Source organism: Homo sapiens, chromosome 6, assembly GCF_000001405.40.
Source record: "Homo sapiens chromosome 6, GRCh38.p14 Primary Assembly".
Lineage (NCBI taxonomy): Eukaryota > Metazoa > Chordata > Mammalia > Primates > Hominidae > Homo > Homo sapiens.
The window spans coordinates 95,781,619-95,795,611 of record NC_000006.12 but is presented as its reverse complement, the minus strand read 5'-3'; the positions used below and the strand labels follow the sequence as shown (position 1 = coordinate 95,795,611).

Below are 13,993 nucleotides of genomic sequence, written 5' to 3'. Positions count from 1 at the left end.
CCACATCCTCTCTACTAGATCATTCTTATCAGCATGTACACATAGTGTTATTTCTCCTACATAAAAAAATAAAAACTTTTCTTAACCTTATCACTCAATCAAGCTACCATAACATTTATCTCCCTATCTTTAAAGCAAAACTTCTTGAAAGAATGGTTTATTCCTGCTGTGTTCAATGTCTTTACTTCCACTCACCTTTGAATTTACTCCAATTAGGCATGACCATCGATGCCACCTGAGATGCCTTGTGGCATTGTTTTGCTAATTCTAATGACCAGTTTATGGTCAAATTCTCATCTTATTGTACCTGTTGCAGCACTTGATTAAAAATTGATCTCTTGTCTTTGAAACTTACTTTTTACTTGGTTTCTGTGATGGTTAATTTTATGTGTCATATTGGCTAGACCACAGTATCCAGATATTTGGTCAAACACCAGCCTGGATGTCACTGTAAAAATTGTTTTCAGATAAAATTAGCATTCAAACAAGTAGACTTTTAGTAAAGCAAATTACTCTGCATAATTCTGGTGGGCCACATCCAATCAGTTGAAGACCTTAAGAGAAAAAAGACTAAAGCCCCCCAAAGAAGAAGAAATACTCCTGTCAGACCACCATCAACCTTGAACTGCAACATCAGTGCTTCCTTGGGTCTACAGCCTGCAGCCTATCCTGCAGATTTTGGACTTGCCAGCCTCTACAATCATGTGAGTCAATTTCACACACACATACACACACACCACTGGTTCTGGTTCTCTAGAAGACCCTGACTAATATAGCTTCCAAGACTATGAAGTCAACCACCTAGTTTTGCCTTTACCCCTCAAGCTAGTCCAACTGAGTCTCATTTGCAATTTTTCCCCCATTTCCCCAATTTTTAAACTCTGGAGTACTGCAGGATTTGTCCTTGGCATTAATCTCTTTGCTATTTGTATTTACTCTCTAGGTAATTTCATCCACAATATGTTTTCAATACTGTCTAAGTGCTGGTAGTTCTCAATTTCTTTTATATATATATATTTTTATTATACTTTAAGTTCTAGGGTACATGTGCACAATATGCAGGTTTGTTACATATGTATACATGTGCCATGTTGGTGTGCTGCACCCATTAACTCGTCATTTACATTAGGTATATCTCCTAATGCTATCCCTCCCCCCTCCCCCACCCCACAACAGGCCCCTGTGTGTGATGTTCCCTTTCCTGTGTCCAAGTGTTCTCACTGTTCAATTCCCACCTATGAGTGAGAACACGTGGTGTTTGGTTTTTTGGCCTTGCCATAGTTTGCTGAGAATGAATTATGGTTTCCAGCTTCATCCATGTTTCTTCAAAGGACATGAACTCATCATTTTTTATGGCTGCATAGTATTCCATGGTGTATATGTGCCACATTTTCTTGATCCAGTCTATCATTGTTGGACATTTGGGTTGGTTCCAAGTCTTTGCTATTGTGAATAGTGCCGCAATAAACATACGTGTGCATGTGTCTTTATAGCAGCATGATTTATAATCCTCTGGGTATATACCCAGTAATGGGATGGCTGGGTCAAATGGTATTTCTAGTTCTAGATCTCTGAGGAATCGCCACACTGTCTTCCACAATGGTCGAACTAGTTTACAGTCCCACCAACAGTGTAAAAGTGTTCCTATTTTTCCACATCCTCTTCAGCACCTGTTGTTTCCTGACTTTTTAATGATCACCATTCTAACTGGTGTGAGATGGTATCTCATTGTCGTTTTGATTTGCATTTCTCTCATGTCCAGTGATGATGAGCATTTTTTCATGTGTCTTTTGGCTGCATAAATGTCTTCTTTTGAGAAGTGTCTGTTCATATCCTTCGCCCACTTTTTGATGGGGTTGTTTGTTTTTATCTTGTAAATTTCTTTGAGTTCTTTGCAGATTCTCTATTTCTTCTCTAGCACAAAAAAAAAACTCCTCTGAACTTCAGGTTCATATAGTCTGCTTATTTTGCATCCCCACTTAGATGTCAAATAGGTACTTCTAATTTAACATGGCTAGGAATCAGCTCCTGGTATGTGACTTCCCTCAAAAATCACTCTATTTTTCTCTTCAACTTTCTCAACTCAGTAAATGAGAGCTCCATTACTCTAATTGCTTGACCCAAAACTTTTGTGTTGTACTTGGCTCCTTTCTTTCTCTAATACTCCACATTAAATCAGAAAATCTTGTTGTCTGTGTTTTCAAAATACATCCAGATCCCAACCATTTCTTAACATTTTCATGTCAACCTCTCTGGACCACACAACTATCCTCTTGCTTCTGTATTATTATGGGAACTGGCTAATTGGTGTTTCTTTTCCTGTCATTAGCTTCTACCCACCACTCCTTGTGCCACGTCCTATATAATTAACATCGAGAGTTGTCTTATTTGTCTCAAATCAAATTATACTTTTTTTGTGGCTCTAAACTCTTTTCTCTTACCCAGAGAAAACGTCAAAATATTTGTAATGTCCTATGTTATATGAGACCGTGTTACCTCTATGACTTTATGTCCCTTGGTTATCCTGTTTCTTTCTTTTTCTTCAAACACATAAGTTGTGCTGTGTTTTCAAGGCTTTTGTATTTGCTGTTCTTTTGTGAAGGGTGTAAGACCTAGGTCTAGATTCAATTTTTTTTTTGCATGTGGATGTCCATTTGTTCCAGTATTATTTGTTGAAAGAGTTATCTTTTCTCCACTGTATTGCCTTTGTTCCTTTGTCAGGGATCAGTTGACTATATTTATGTGAGTCTATTTCTGGGTTCTTTATTCTGTTCCATTGATCTATTTGTCTAATCTTTCACCAATACCACATTGTCTTGATTAATGTAGCTTTATAGTAAGTCTTGGAGAACATACTTCCTTAAGTGTTTTACCACCTCCTCTTTGTCTTCTCATCTGCTGAAACACTATGCATAGTCAGGACATGACTGACATGTCACTCAGGGTCCAGCTGCCTCACCATACAAGGTGAGTTAGACTCTCTGCCTCTGTATTTGCACAGGGAAATATGCATTTCTTTTTACTATATTTTAGAACCAGTCCCATTGTATTTAATTAGTGCATTTACATTTATGTTTCCTTTCGAAAATAAATCGAAGAATAAGTCCTATTCATCTGTGTATTCCAAACACCTGAAATACTATCTGATGCAAAGCAGAGGCCATGACACATGTATCTGGTCAGGAGGCCTTCAACTTTTCCCTGTTCTGAATAATGTTGGCTATGAGTTTGTCATAGATAGTTTTTTATTACCTCAATGTATGTCTCTTCTATGCCAATTTTGCTGAGTGTTTCAATCATAAAAGGATTCTGGATTTTGTCAAGTGCTTTTTCTGTATCTATTGAAATGATTACATGATTTTTGTTTTTAATTCTGCTTATGTGGTGTATAAGAATTTGTCCCACCGAGATGAGGAGGGTTGTGTTGGTGCCCAGAATAAATCTCCACTCATTTTAGCATTTGGAGGACTATGCTCCTTGCTGACCAGCTACCTGATTATTTACTCAAAAACAAAGGCTATCTCTCAACATGTCCCAATTTCTATTCACAAAGCTTACAACATGACCTCCCAGGAATTTTCATGATATAGAACAAGACCCACATCAGCTATCTAAATGAGCAAACCAATGAATTTGTTTTCTTATTAATATTTTTAAATTTGTATTATATATATTTAAGGTATACAATATGATTACTTGATATACTATAATAATCATTTAACTATGTATAGGTATATCATACTATACACATATATAGTTAATATATATTATGTAATGTATATTATGATACACATATACATAATTAAATGATTATTACGGTAAATTAGCATATCTATATATGTATATACAAAGAGGGTTTATAGATATATAAAGATATATATATAAAAAGAGGTAACTAATTGAAATAATGGATATGCTAATTTACTGCAATAATCATTTAACTATTATAGTTGAATGATTATATTATATATATGTGTGTGTGTGTGTGTTGGTAAGAGCACCTAAAATAAACTCTCCTGGAAAATTATCAATATGCAGTATAGTATTATTAACTATAATCCTTATATGCTATAAATCTCTAGATTTATTCATCCTACATAACTGCAACTTTATTATACTCTTGACCTACATAGCGAATTTGTTTTTAAATATGAATGATGAGCCAAAATCAGCAGGCATTTCAGGAACACAAATAGCATAAAATGCAAAGCCCAAGTAAACCAACAAAGACATTGACCCAAGGTGAAACAGTGATTCAGGAACAGAAGAAAATATTTTAGTTTGTAGAGTGGGATAACACATTTTAAACTATACACTAATGTGCAGAGAAATTGTGACTGTTTTCTTTTTCTTTCATTTTTGGTTGTGGTTGTTGTTGTTTTGAGGCAGGGCCTCAATCTGTCACCTAGGTTGGAGTGCAGTAGTGCCAAGATAGCTCCGTGCAGCCTCAATCTCATGGGCTCAAATAATCCTCCTGCCTCAGCCTCCCAAGTAGGTAGGACTAGAGGCACACACCACCACACCTGAATTTTTAAAACGTTTTTGCACCGACGGGACCTTGCTATGCTGTCCAGGCTGGTCTTGAAGTCCTGGCCTCAAGGGATCCTCCCACCTTGGCCTTCCAAAGTGCTGAGATTATGGGCATGAGCTTCTGTGCCCTGCCAACTTTTTTGTTTGCTATACCCGAGATAATATTCTTCAAATGTTTTCCACTCGCTGGGAAAACATTGCTGGGTGATAAGAATGTAGATGTTAGCATGTTAATAACCTCTTTTAAGTTTAAGATTATGACCTTCAAACTCATGGTAAATCTATTCCGGTTTCACATTTTCTCATTTATGGTCTCCCAAATAGTATCTGAGGAATTTCTAGGCATAAGAAAGAGACAAGGATTTATTGTGCTCATTCTTTTTTTTTCCTGGACTATGAAGCAGGTGGCTCTATCCACTTGGTCATGTTGCACTCACCCACTCCCTGCTGAAGTGGTGGTTGGTGAACTTGTGGTCTCTACTCACTTGGCTCAGTCAAGTCCTTAGATCCCCTCTATTGATTTGCTTCTTGCAGTCTTCAAATATTTTTCTGACATCAGTCATTGAATTGGTTCCCTATGGATTTTTGGTTTTGAAATAATTCCAGATGTGTAGAAAAGTTGCAAGAATTACACCAAAATTCCTATATATTTACCCTTAGATTTTCCAAAAGTTAATATTTTAACATATTTGCTTTATTGTTTCCTCTGTCTGTGTAGAGGGAAGGATATCATTACTTTTCTGAATTATTTCACAGTAAGCTGCACACATTATTTCCCTTTACCCAAAATACTTCAGTGTATATTTCTTAAAATCAAGGATACTCTCTTACATACCCAAAATAAGATTATCAAAATCTTGTTAATTCAGATTGGTATAATATTCTTGTTTAATATAATGGCCTTATTACAATTTTGTGAAATTTCCATAAGTGTTCTTTATAACAAAAGGAAAAACAATCTAATTCAGGACATCACATTTACTATTAAGTCTTTTTAAGTATCCTTTAATATGGAGCAGTTCCTCAGTCCTTCTTTGTCTTTTATGACATTGATATTTAAAAAGCATAGAGGATTTATTTCATAAAATGTCTGTCACTCTGGGTTTGTCTGATGTTTCTACATGATTATGTTCAGGTTAAGTATTTTTGGTAGGAACACCATGAATGTCTACTTTTTGATTTATAGCCTAAATTGTTTGCCCTACATGAAGTAGCTCCAAAGTCACTTTGTACCTAACAAGGAAACTTTCAGGCTTTCTAGTCAACATCACTGGCAAACTTTTCTGCTTCTTCATCAGGTACAAAGGGATTCAGAAAACCTTCCAAGATATGTATAAATACTGTGATTCTCTGCGGATTGAAACTCAAACTCTGCTACTGCCTAAACATGGAAAACCCTACATTTATCCTAAAATAGCATTCCTCATATTTCGAAAATAAGGATAAAGATCCTCTTTTCTCAACTTTCCCTTCAACCTAACACCCTGCCTCAGAGAGAAACAAAAGGAATATGCATCCAGAAAACAAAAATAAAATTTGATGATTAAAAAAAAGAGAACATGAAGGAATTCTTAGAAACTGAAGACATTAGTGCTGAATTTAAAAAAATAATAATAAAAGAAGAGTTCAAAGATAAAGTCCAAGAAATATCCCAGAGGACAGAACATGATGGAAACACATAAAGGTAAACGCAATGTAAAGAACAAATTCAATTAATCAAGGAAGATCTAAAAGAGAAAACAGAAATTTATATTACCATCCAGAGTATTAATCAAGTGCAAGAGCAACATAAAGACACTCTCACACATGAAAGAAATAGTTAATTGTTTTCACACTCTATCTACAGAAGTTACTTGAATATCTATGTGTTTTGTCCTAGTGACAACCTTTGCAAATTGCCAAGTTTACCTTCCGAGACACTAGAACAATAAAAAAGTGTCATGAGAACAAAAGAGCGGATGCAAGTTTCTTGTGCCTAACCAGGTTTGGATGAGTGGCATCAGTATCAGTGGCATGATTTTATAGGAAAATTTCACAGCTCTAAATATCCAGTGCCTCCATCTTGGCATAGATATTAAAGGAAACTTATATCCCTTAACAGTATTTGTTGAAATCTTTCTAACCATCACTTCACTACCCTGTGTTGAAGCCCATAAAAAGGCATATTCATCTTTTCTCAACAGAAAACACAAAGGCAAAGAAACTTTTTGGCAAAATACATTTTTAAAAACTGTCTAAAAAGTCATTTTTCAAATAGGAACAAAAGATCCCATGACTCTGAGAAACTGGTAGAACAAACGATATGATTGTGATTACCCTTAATATTGTGAGCCATCATGGTACAGAGCAGTAATTCTAATAATAGTTTGTAAAGAAGCATATATAACGTCGAGAAAAAATATTTTGTCCCACCTTGGTAAATATTTCCATGGCCATAGTTTTTGGGAGACAATTCTCCATGGGTCTCTTATTTCTGCACATTATCAAAGGCATTCATTGCTAATTTAATCTAAAATGCATTTTCAAGTATGTTTGTATATCAGGCAGTCTTAGAAAATAAAATTTTCTCTCCCTGGTGCAGATTTGTTTACATTACAGGGTGAGAAAAATAACGTCTGTCTCTGGAGGGGAAGATGGAAATTGAGAATTTTGGCTCAGGGAAACACTATAATGATGTGTTGGTCATTACTACTGATGTAATAATATTTGGTCTCTAACCCAAGAGCCCCATGTCTCTGCTAGTTTTTATGAAAATGTAGCAGGCTAACTTATCAGCATGTAAGCGGAATAAAATCTCAAACGTTTTGCAGTTCTCCTTAATAACAATGCAAATGCTTTTTTTTTATTTTCGTCTTTTAGAAAAAATATAAGCAGGCTGTTTTTGTAGGCATCCATAAACTGATTTTTAAAATTATATGGAATTACAAAGGACTTAAAATAACCAAAACAATTATGAAAAAAAACATGCTTGGAGAACGAATACCTCCTGATTTCCAAAATTGTTTTAAAGCTACAATAATTAAGACAGTGTGGTAATAGATATGAAGATAAACACATATATCAGTGGAAATGAATCAAAGTTCAGAAATAGAACCACATTATATGGTAAATTGATTTTTAACAACAATGTCAAGGTAATTTATTGAGGAAAAGATTTTCTTTTCAAAAAGCGTACAGGAACAACTAGCAATCAAATATAGGAAAGAAAAAAAATGAACATGGATCTTTACCTGACACTATATGCAAACTTCGACTTAAAATAGACCTAAATATAAAAAGCTTAAACTAAAATACTAGAAGAAAATATAGGAGAAAATATTTATGAATTTGAGCTAGACAAATAATTCTCGCACAAACGAGCACATACCATAAAAGGAAACTTTGATAATTTGAGTTTCATTAAAATAAAAAACAAAAATAAAACTTTTATTCCCTCAAATACACCATTAAGGAAACAAAAAGTCAAGTCAGACTAGGGGAAATATTGTCTCTCTCTCTCTTTGTCTTTCTTTCCATATATATGTGTATGTGTATGTGAATGTGTGTATATAAAATTATACACATATATATAATATGTAATATATAAATATATTTTAAAACGTTAAAGTATTTAAGATGGAGATAATATATATGGAAACAATAGCAACTGCTTATTTTGCTTTAATTCTTAAAGTCTATATTGTTCATTTTTAGACAACATAATAAAACATCTAACTAGTCATTTTTAATGGACATACTCAGAATTTCTGGCATTGTCTAAAAGCTGTTCATAGAGAAAGTTGTTAAATATTTTGGTACTAAGCAAAAAAACTGGAAAATAGTTTGGAAATAAACTCAAGTATAATTTTTTTTAAAATACAGTGTTTGCTCTGGAGGTTAAGAGTGTTGACAGGAAGGGGATACTTTTAACTTAGAATTTGTTAGCAACTTTCAATGTTTGTTACTTTCACACAATTTGTCACCTATGTAAATTCATACTTGAAATGGTAAATTTCGGTATCGCCTCTTCTTTTCAAAATTTCAGCCAGTTGGCTATCTATTGTTGTTATCATTAGAAGAGCTCATTGTGGTTGATTGCCTCAGAGCAACTCTCTGACCAACAGCAACTTACAGGCTTAAAACCATCAATAACTTAAGTGGGCCTATACTCAAGAACTCTCTATTAGTATCTAAGTTAGTATTTCTCAAACTTGGATATACATGTAATCGCTTCAAAAAATACTTACACCTGGATCTCCTATCATTTTCATTTTTTAATTATCTGGGAAATGGAATTTTAAAAATAGTCCCTGTTAATTAACATGTGCGGCAATATTGATAATGCCCTGATTAATCCAGCCTTACTGTAAAACTAATCATGTGCGGCAAGTTAGTAGCAGCTCAGTGTTTCATGACTGTACTTCATGTACAAGTCAGTTGGTTTCTGTGGATGAAAAGCATCTTAATGACTCTTTTTGCTATTCAAATTACCACTTTCATAAAGCTTTATTTCAAGCTTCTAATCTACTGCTGTAGATTTGAGGAAATGTAAGCTTTAGAGACAGAAGATTATTAGTCAATTACGCAAAGAAGAAAGAGAATTTCATACCATGAGTTTCTAAACCACATTTTTGTTCTGTACACAGTCCTCTGATTCAACTTATGATAGAGGATCCAGAAATATCATCGCATAGTCATTTATAGTGATTTTTTTCCCTAATTTAAGTAATTAGATTTATTAATTAATCTTAGGTAATTAAGATTTATTAATCTGGTTAACAGAATGACTTTGTAGTTTTAAAAGTTTTAGTCATATATTATCCATTGCTAACTGATTGCTTTCTAAATCAGTGGTTATTATGGGCCGAATTGTGTCCCTTCCAAATGCCTATGTTGAAGTCCTAACTTCACTACCTCAGAATGTGACTATATTTGGAGATGAGTCTTTAAAGAGGTAAAATGAGGTCTTTAGGGAGGAATCTAATGCAATACGACTTGTCTCCTTATAAGAAGAGAAGATTAGAAGATTAGGACACAGACACACAGAAAGAGGGTCATGTGAGGACACAGGCAGAAAGTCATCATCTGTAAGCCAGGGTGAGGCTTCAGAAGAAACCAACCCTGCCAACACCTGGATCTCAGACTCTAGTCTCAAGAATTTTGAAAAAAAAAAAAAAATTTTGTTGTTTAAGACACCCGGCCTATAGTACTTTGATGTGGCAGCCTTAGCTAATGAATACACTGGTTGTCAACCTTGGCTGCTCAATAGAACCACCTGTAGTTACAAACAATAAAATTAAAATAAAATGAAATAACATCCATGCTAATTAAATCATAATGGAGCAAGGGATTGTGAAGGGAGTACACGGTGAGTAGGCACTAATTTTTAAAAACAATGTCTCTGTGTAATGTTTAGATTATTGAGGACAGGCTTACATTTAACTGACTTCTTTCTGTAACAGTCTCCTGCAAAGTTGCCTATAGAAGATAATCTGAAAATTGCTAAACATATCATCAACTCTTTACAATCTATTCAGGTTCTATTTGCTAATTTGACAAGTGTGTTCCTTAAATTATTCAGTATCTAGTATTTCTTATCTATTTAGTATTTAGCATTGTGTGACAGAAAACAGAAGTGAGGTGGTTTAAACTTTTATTATCCATTATTGAAATAAATTTCTTCTTCTAATGGCTTATGCAGAAGAAGCATTATTTATTCTACTGCAATATTTCCCTTAAGAGCTAGATCTTGATATGTTCCCGTGTTTTCAATTTGATAGCATAGCCCCAAAGAAAACATAAATATCAGAATTTTAAACAATTTCATAGTAATATTGAGGATTAATGCCAATTATTAATTTAAAGTTTTTAAAATTGTTTGGTTTGATTTCCTTAAAAAGAAAATACTACATCAAATGTAAAAATAGAAAAAAATGTCCTGAAACAGAAAAGAATACAAATAAGAAAGCAGCAGCTGCAGCAACTAACCACAGCAGGAACTAACTGCCCAGATACGCCATTTAAAAGTTAGCTCTTTCCATACTGTTGTTTCCAAATGAGTACTGCTGCTTGCTTGGCTGAAAATACATAAGACATATGACACATATTGATCATAATATGCATGGTAGGAAGTCTCCAGGAACTGACCCGTATAACAGGATAAAAGTCATCTGGAGACCTCTGGTTGTTCCTGCAAATCAATCCCGAGACCAAAGATGGTATAGGGTTTAAAACCAAAAAATCAGGTGCTGGAATAGATGGGCTGAATTCCAATCTAGTTTTAATCTTTTTGGTTTCGTGACTTTAGGAAAATTATTACTTATTATTATTATTATTTTAATCTTTGTGTGAATTTTTTGCCTCAAAAGTTTGTTATGGTCATTTATTTAAGGTAGTAGTAAACACTTAATGTTAATTTACATCAGACGTTGTCTATTACAGCTCTGTAGAAATCCTTACATCTTTTTCTACATTTCCACATGACTTTTGTATTTGATCTATATTTTACTTTTCCATTCCATTTCTTTTTCACTGTCTTTTATACTGACGATATCAGAAATTCAGATTGCTTTTTAAAATTCTGTATCAACCACATGCCAATATGGTTCCATTTTGGTTTTCACTGGAAATTTTCCAACTGGTAATATACTGAAAGAGAAGCTCCTGCTCTCATCAGCCATAATTATCTCACTTGTCATCCCTTACTTCACTTTAGAAAGGGAATGTAGCTCTGAGATGGTTTGTGGTTAAAGAAAAAAAATTGAAGAAGGTAGTGTCAAAACCTTACAGAGAAAAAATTCTGCTTTTATTAAACAAACTGCTCCATTTTACCAGCTTTACCCACTTAGCCAGCATATACTGATAACTCTTCAGTTCTTTTCACTGAGTCATCACTTAACTCATCATCCATAATCCAGCAGCACTAAAACCTCAATCTGAGATATGACCCAAGGTCAGGCACTTAATTACTATGAACACTAATTCCTCTCAATATTTTATTCCTTTGAATCTCATTACTTCTAATAGCTCCTGAAATTTAATATTTCTGATAATTCCAATAATTCTTTTATCTGTAACATATTTAACACTGAGTATGGAACATACTGAATGTGATATATAATCATCTATCTGTTTTAAATATAACCTTTAAAATTATATGTCTTTTCTTCTTTAACTGGTTTTAGTACCCATGAGGACAAAGACTATGAACTAAATTTCTTCTTGTCCTCTGTAAAGCCCAGAAGAATGACAGGAACATAAGAGGCATATATTTAGCTTGATTTTATAAGCAATTATTCCTTCAAAATAAAACATAACAGAAAAACATCATTGGTGTTATTCCTTGGTGACTATGGTTTGGCTCTGTGTCCCCACCCTAATCTCATCTCGAATTATAATCCCCATATGTTGAGGGAGGGACCTGGTGGGAGGTGATTGGATCATGGGGATGGTCTCCCCCATGCTGTTCTCATGACAGTGAGGGAGTTCTCACAAGATCTGATGGTTTTAAAAGTGGCATTTTTCCCTGCCCTTTCTCTCTCTCCTGCCACTTTGAGAAGAAGGTGCCTGCTTCCCCCTCCACCATGATTGTAAATTTTCTGAGGCCTCCCCAGTTAAGCAGAACTGTGAGTCAATTAAACCTTGTTTCTTCATAAATTACCCAGTCTCAGATAGTATCTTTATAGCAGTGTGAGAACAGACGAATACATTTGGTATTTTACTTAATAAGGTACTGGATGGATGTATCTCTTATTTGACTTCATTGTCCTTATAAGATCTTGTTGTATCTTGGTTTGGTCATAGTCATGAGTAGAGATGAAATTAATCCCGTTGAAACAAAAGCTCTAGACATATTTCAAAATTCTGAGAAAATGTTATATTATTCTTGAGTCAGTGGTTTTATTTTGTGTGCATTAGTATATTGGTACAATGTACTGTGGATTTAATTTGGCTGCCTATTAATTACATGTGCAAAGAAATGTTCCTTGTTGTGCTAGATCTCATTAAATGATATAATGTAACAGGAACATGTTTCTTACATAGTTAATAATTTCATGTTTGCTTTTTAAATTTATTTTCATTCCATTGCCTGCTTGTCTTGAGGTGAATAATAAGCATATGACATGCATGAAAATCTGACTGCATAGATAAAAGGCCTGCCTTTTCACTATAAACTCCACTGGTGATTCATTACTTCCTTCACATTTGTGAAACTAGGAGGCTTCAAAAAGTAATACAAAATCATGATGTGAAAAGAAAGTAAATTTTTTACTTGCAGGAGATGGTTTGATATTCCCTGATCACAAGCCACAGTTATCATACTGCGTATTGTGTTAATTGGTATTTTCTATTCTAATGTTCACTGAAATTGTGAATGTCAATGTCTCCAAACACAATAGAGATTGATATACTGGGATCCCATGAAAAAAATCTCTTTTGGAATATATGAGTGTGTGTATTTGTGTTTGTGTGTGTACACACAAAAAATTTGCTATTTCTCAGACTGTAAGAGAGAGCATAATAAATAAAAAATAAATTGACTTTTAATAGTAGATTATATTAGAGAGCACTGATTACCAAATTCAATTAAGTCCTAAAGCTATAATTACCATTGTGTTGACTGATACATAATTTTCTCATAAGTGGTATTTTCTGAATCAATAGTGGGACTTCCAAACAGGCCCATAGAAGTAAAATGATCATTTCAACAAATTTTTCTAAATATATTGACCATTGGAAATTTTCCTATGATTTAGCCACTGCTTTTCAATCTAATGAGGGTTCTTGGCTAGAAGGATTGAAAAACATTTACAATAGATTTTTTTCTTATTAATAACCTTTCTTGATGGCATTAAAAATAAACATAACAATTATATTTGTTCAGGGTTATCACAGCATGTAGAATAAAAACAGGTTGCCCAAAAAGAAAAGGAATTAAAATTACCCATAAACCCTGCCTACAGCATAATTAAGAGTGAGATAATAATACAAGATAAAATTTACGTGTAAGTATGCATAACATACAAGACCACTGCAGTAGTCCCCAGAGTCTACGTCAGAACAAAATGTCAAACAAAAGTTGCATGGGAGGGGGAAGCAGGGTCCCTGTGGGCTAATCCACGGAAGAACAGAAACCCAAATGAAGTGGGAGTACTGGAAACAAGTCTGAGATCTGGTGCATTAGTGCACCAGCTAGATAGAAGATGGAAGAAAGGGTCTTAGCAACCGCTTGGCATGAGAGGTGCTAGCCTTGATGAGAGAAGGAGGCACCCTACAAGAGGAAGATAAATCTGAGATGGTTGGTGGCTAAGATAAACAGGAAAATCTAAAAAGTCTATGTCAAAATATCTCAGGAAACCAGAGCAAAAATTCTCCATTTATTAAAGAAGCTACTCCACTATACCAATGAAAAAAGACTTCTTTTTTTTTACTAGAATACTGGGTATAATATTCAAACCCCTTCATCCATTCAGCCTCATTGTGT

The 13,993-nt window shown here is 34.2% G+C and overlaps 1 annotated feature.

Annotated features, from left to right (window-relative positions):
* Positions 10,472-10,601: a silencer, noted in NCBI's record as "silent region_17407". NCBI's record gives its function as "represses an Ori minimal core promoter by ATAC-STARR-seq in GM12878 lymphoblastoid cells {active_cell/tissue: GM12878}" and the evidence as "EXISTENCE:reporter gene assay evidence [ECO:0000049][PMID:35858748]".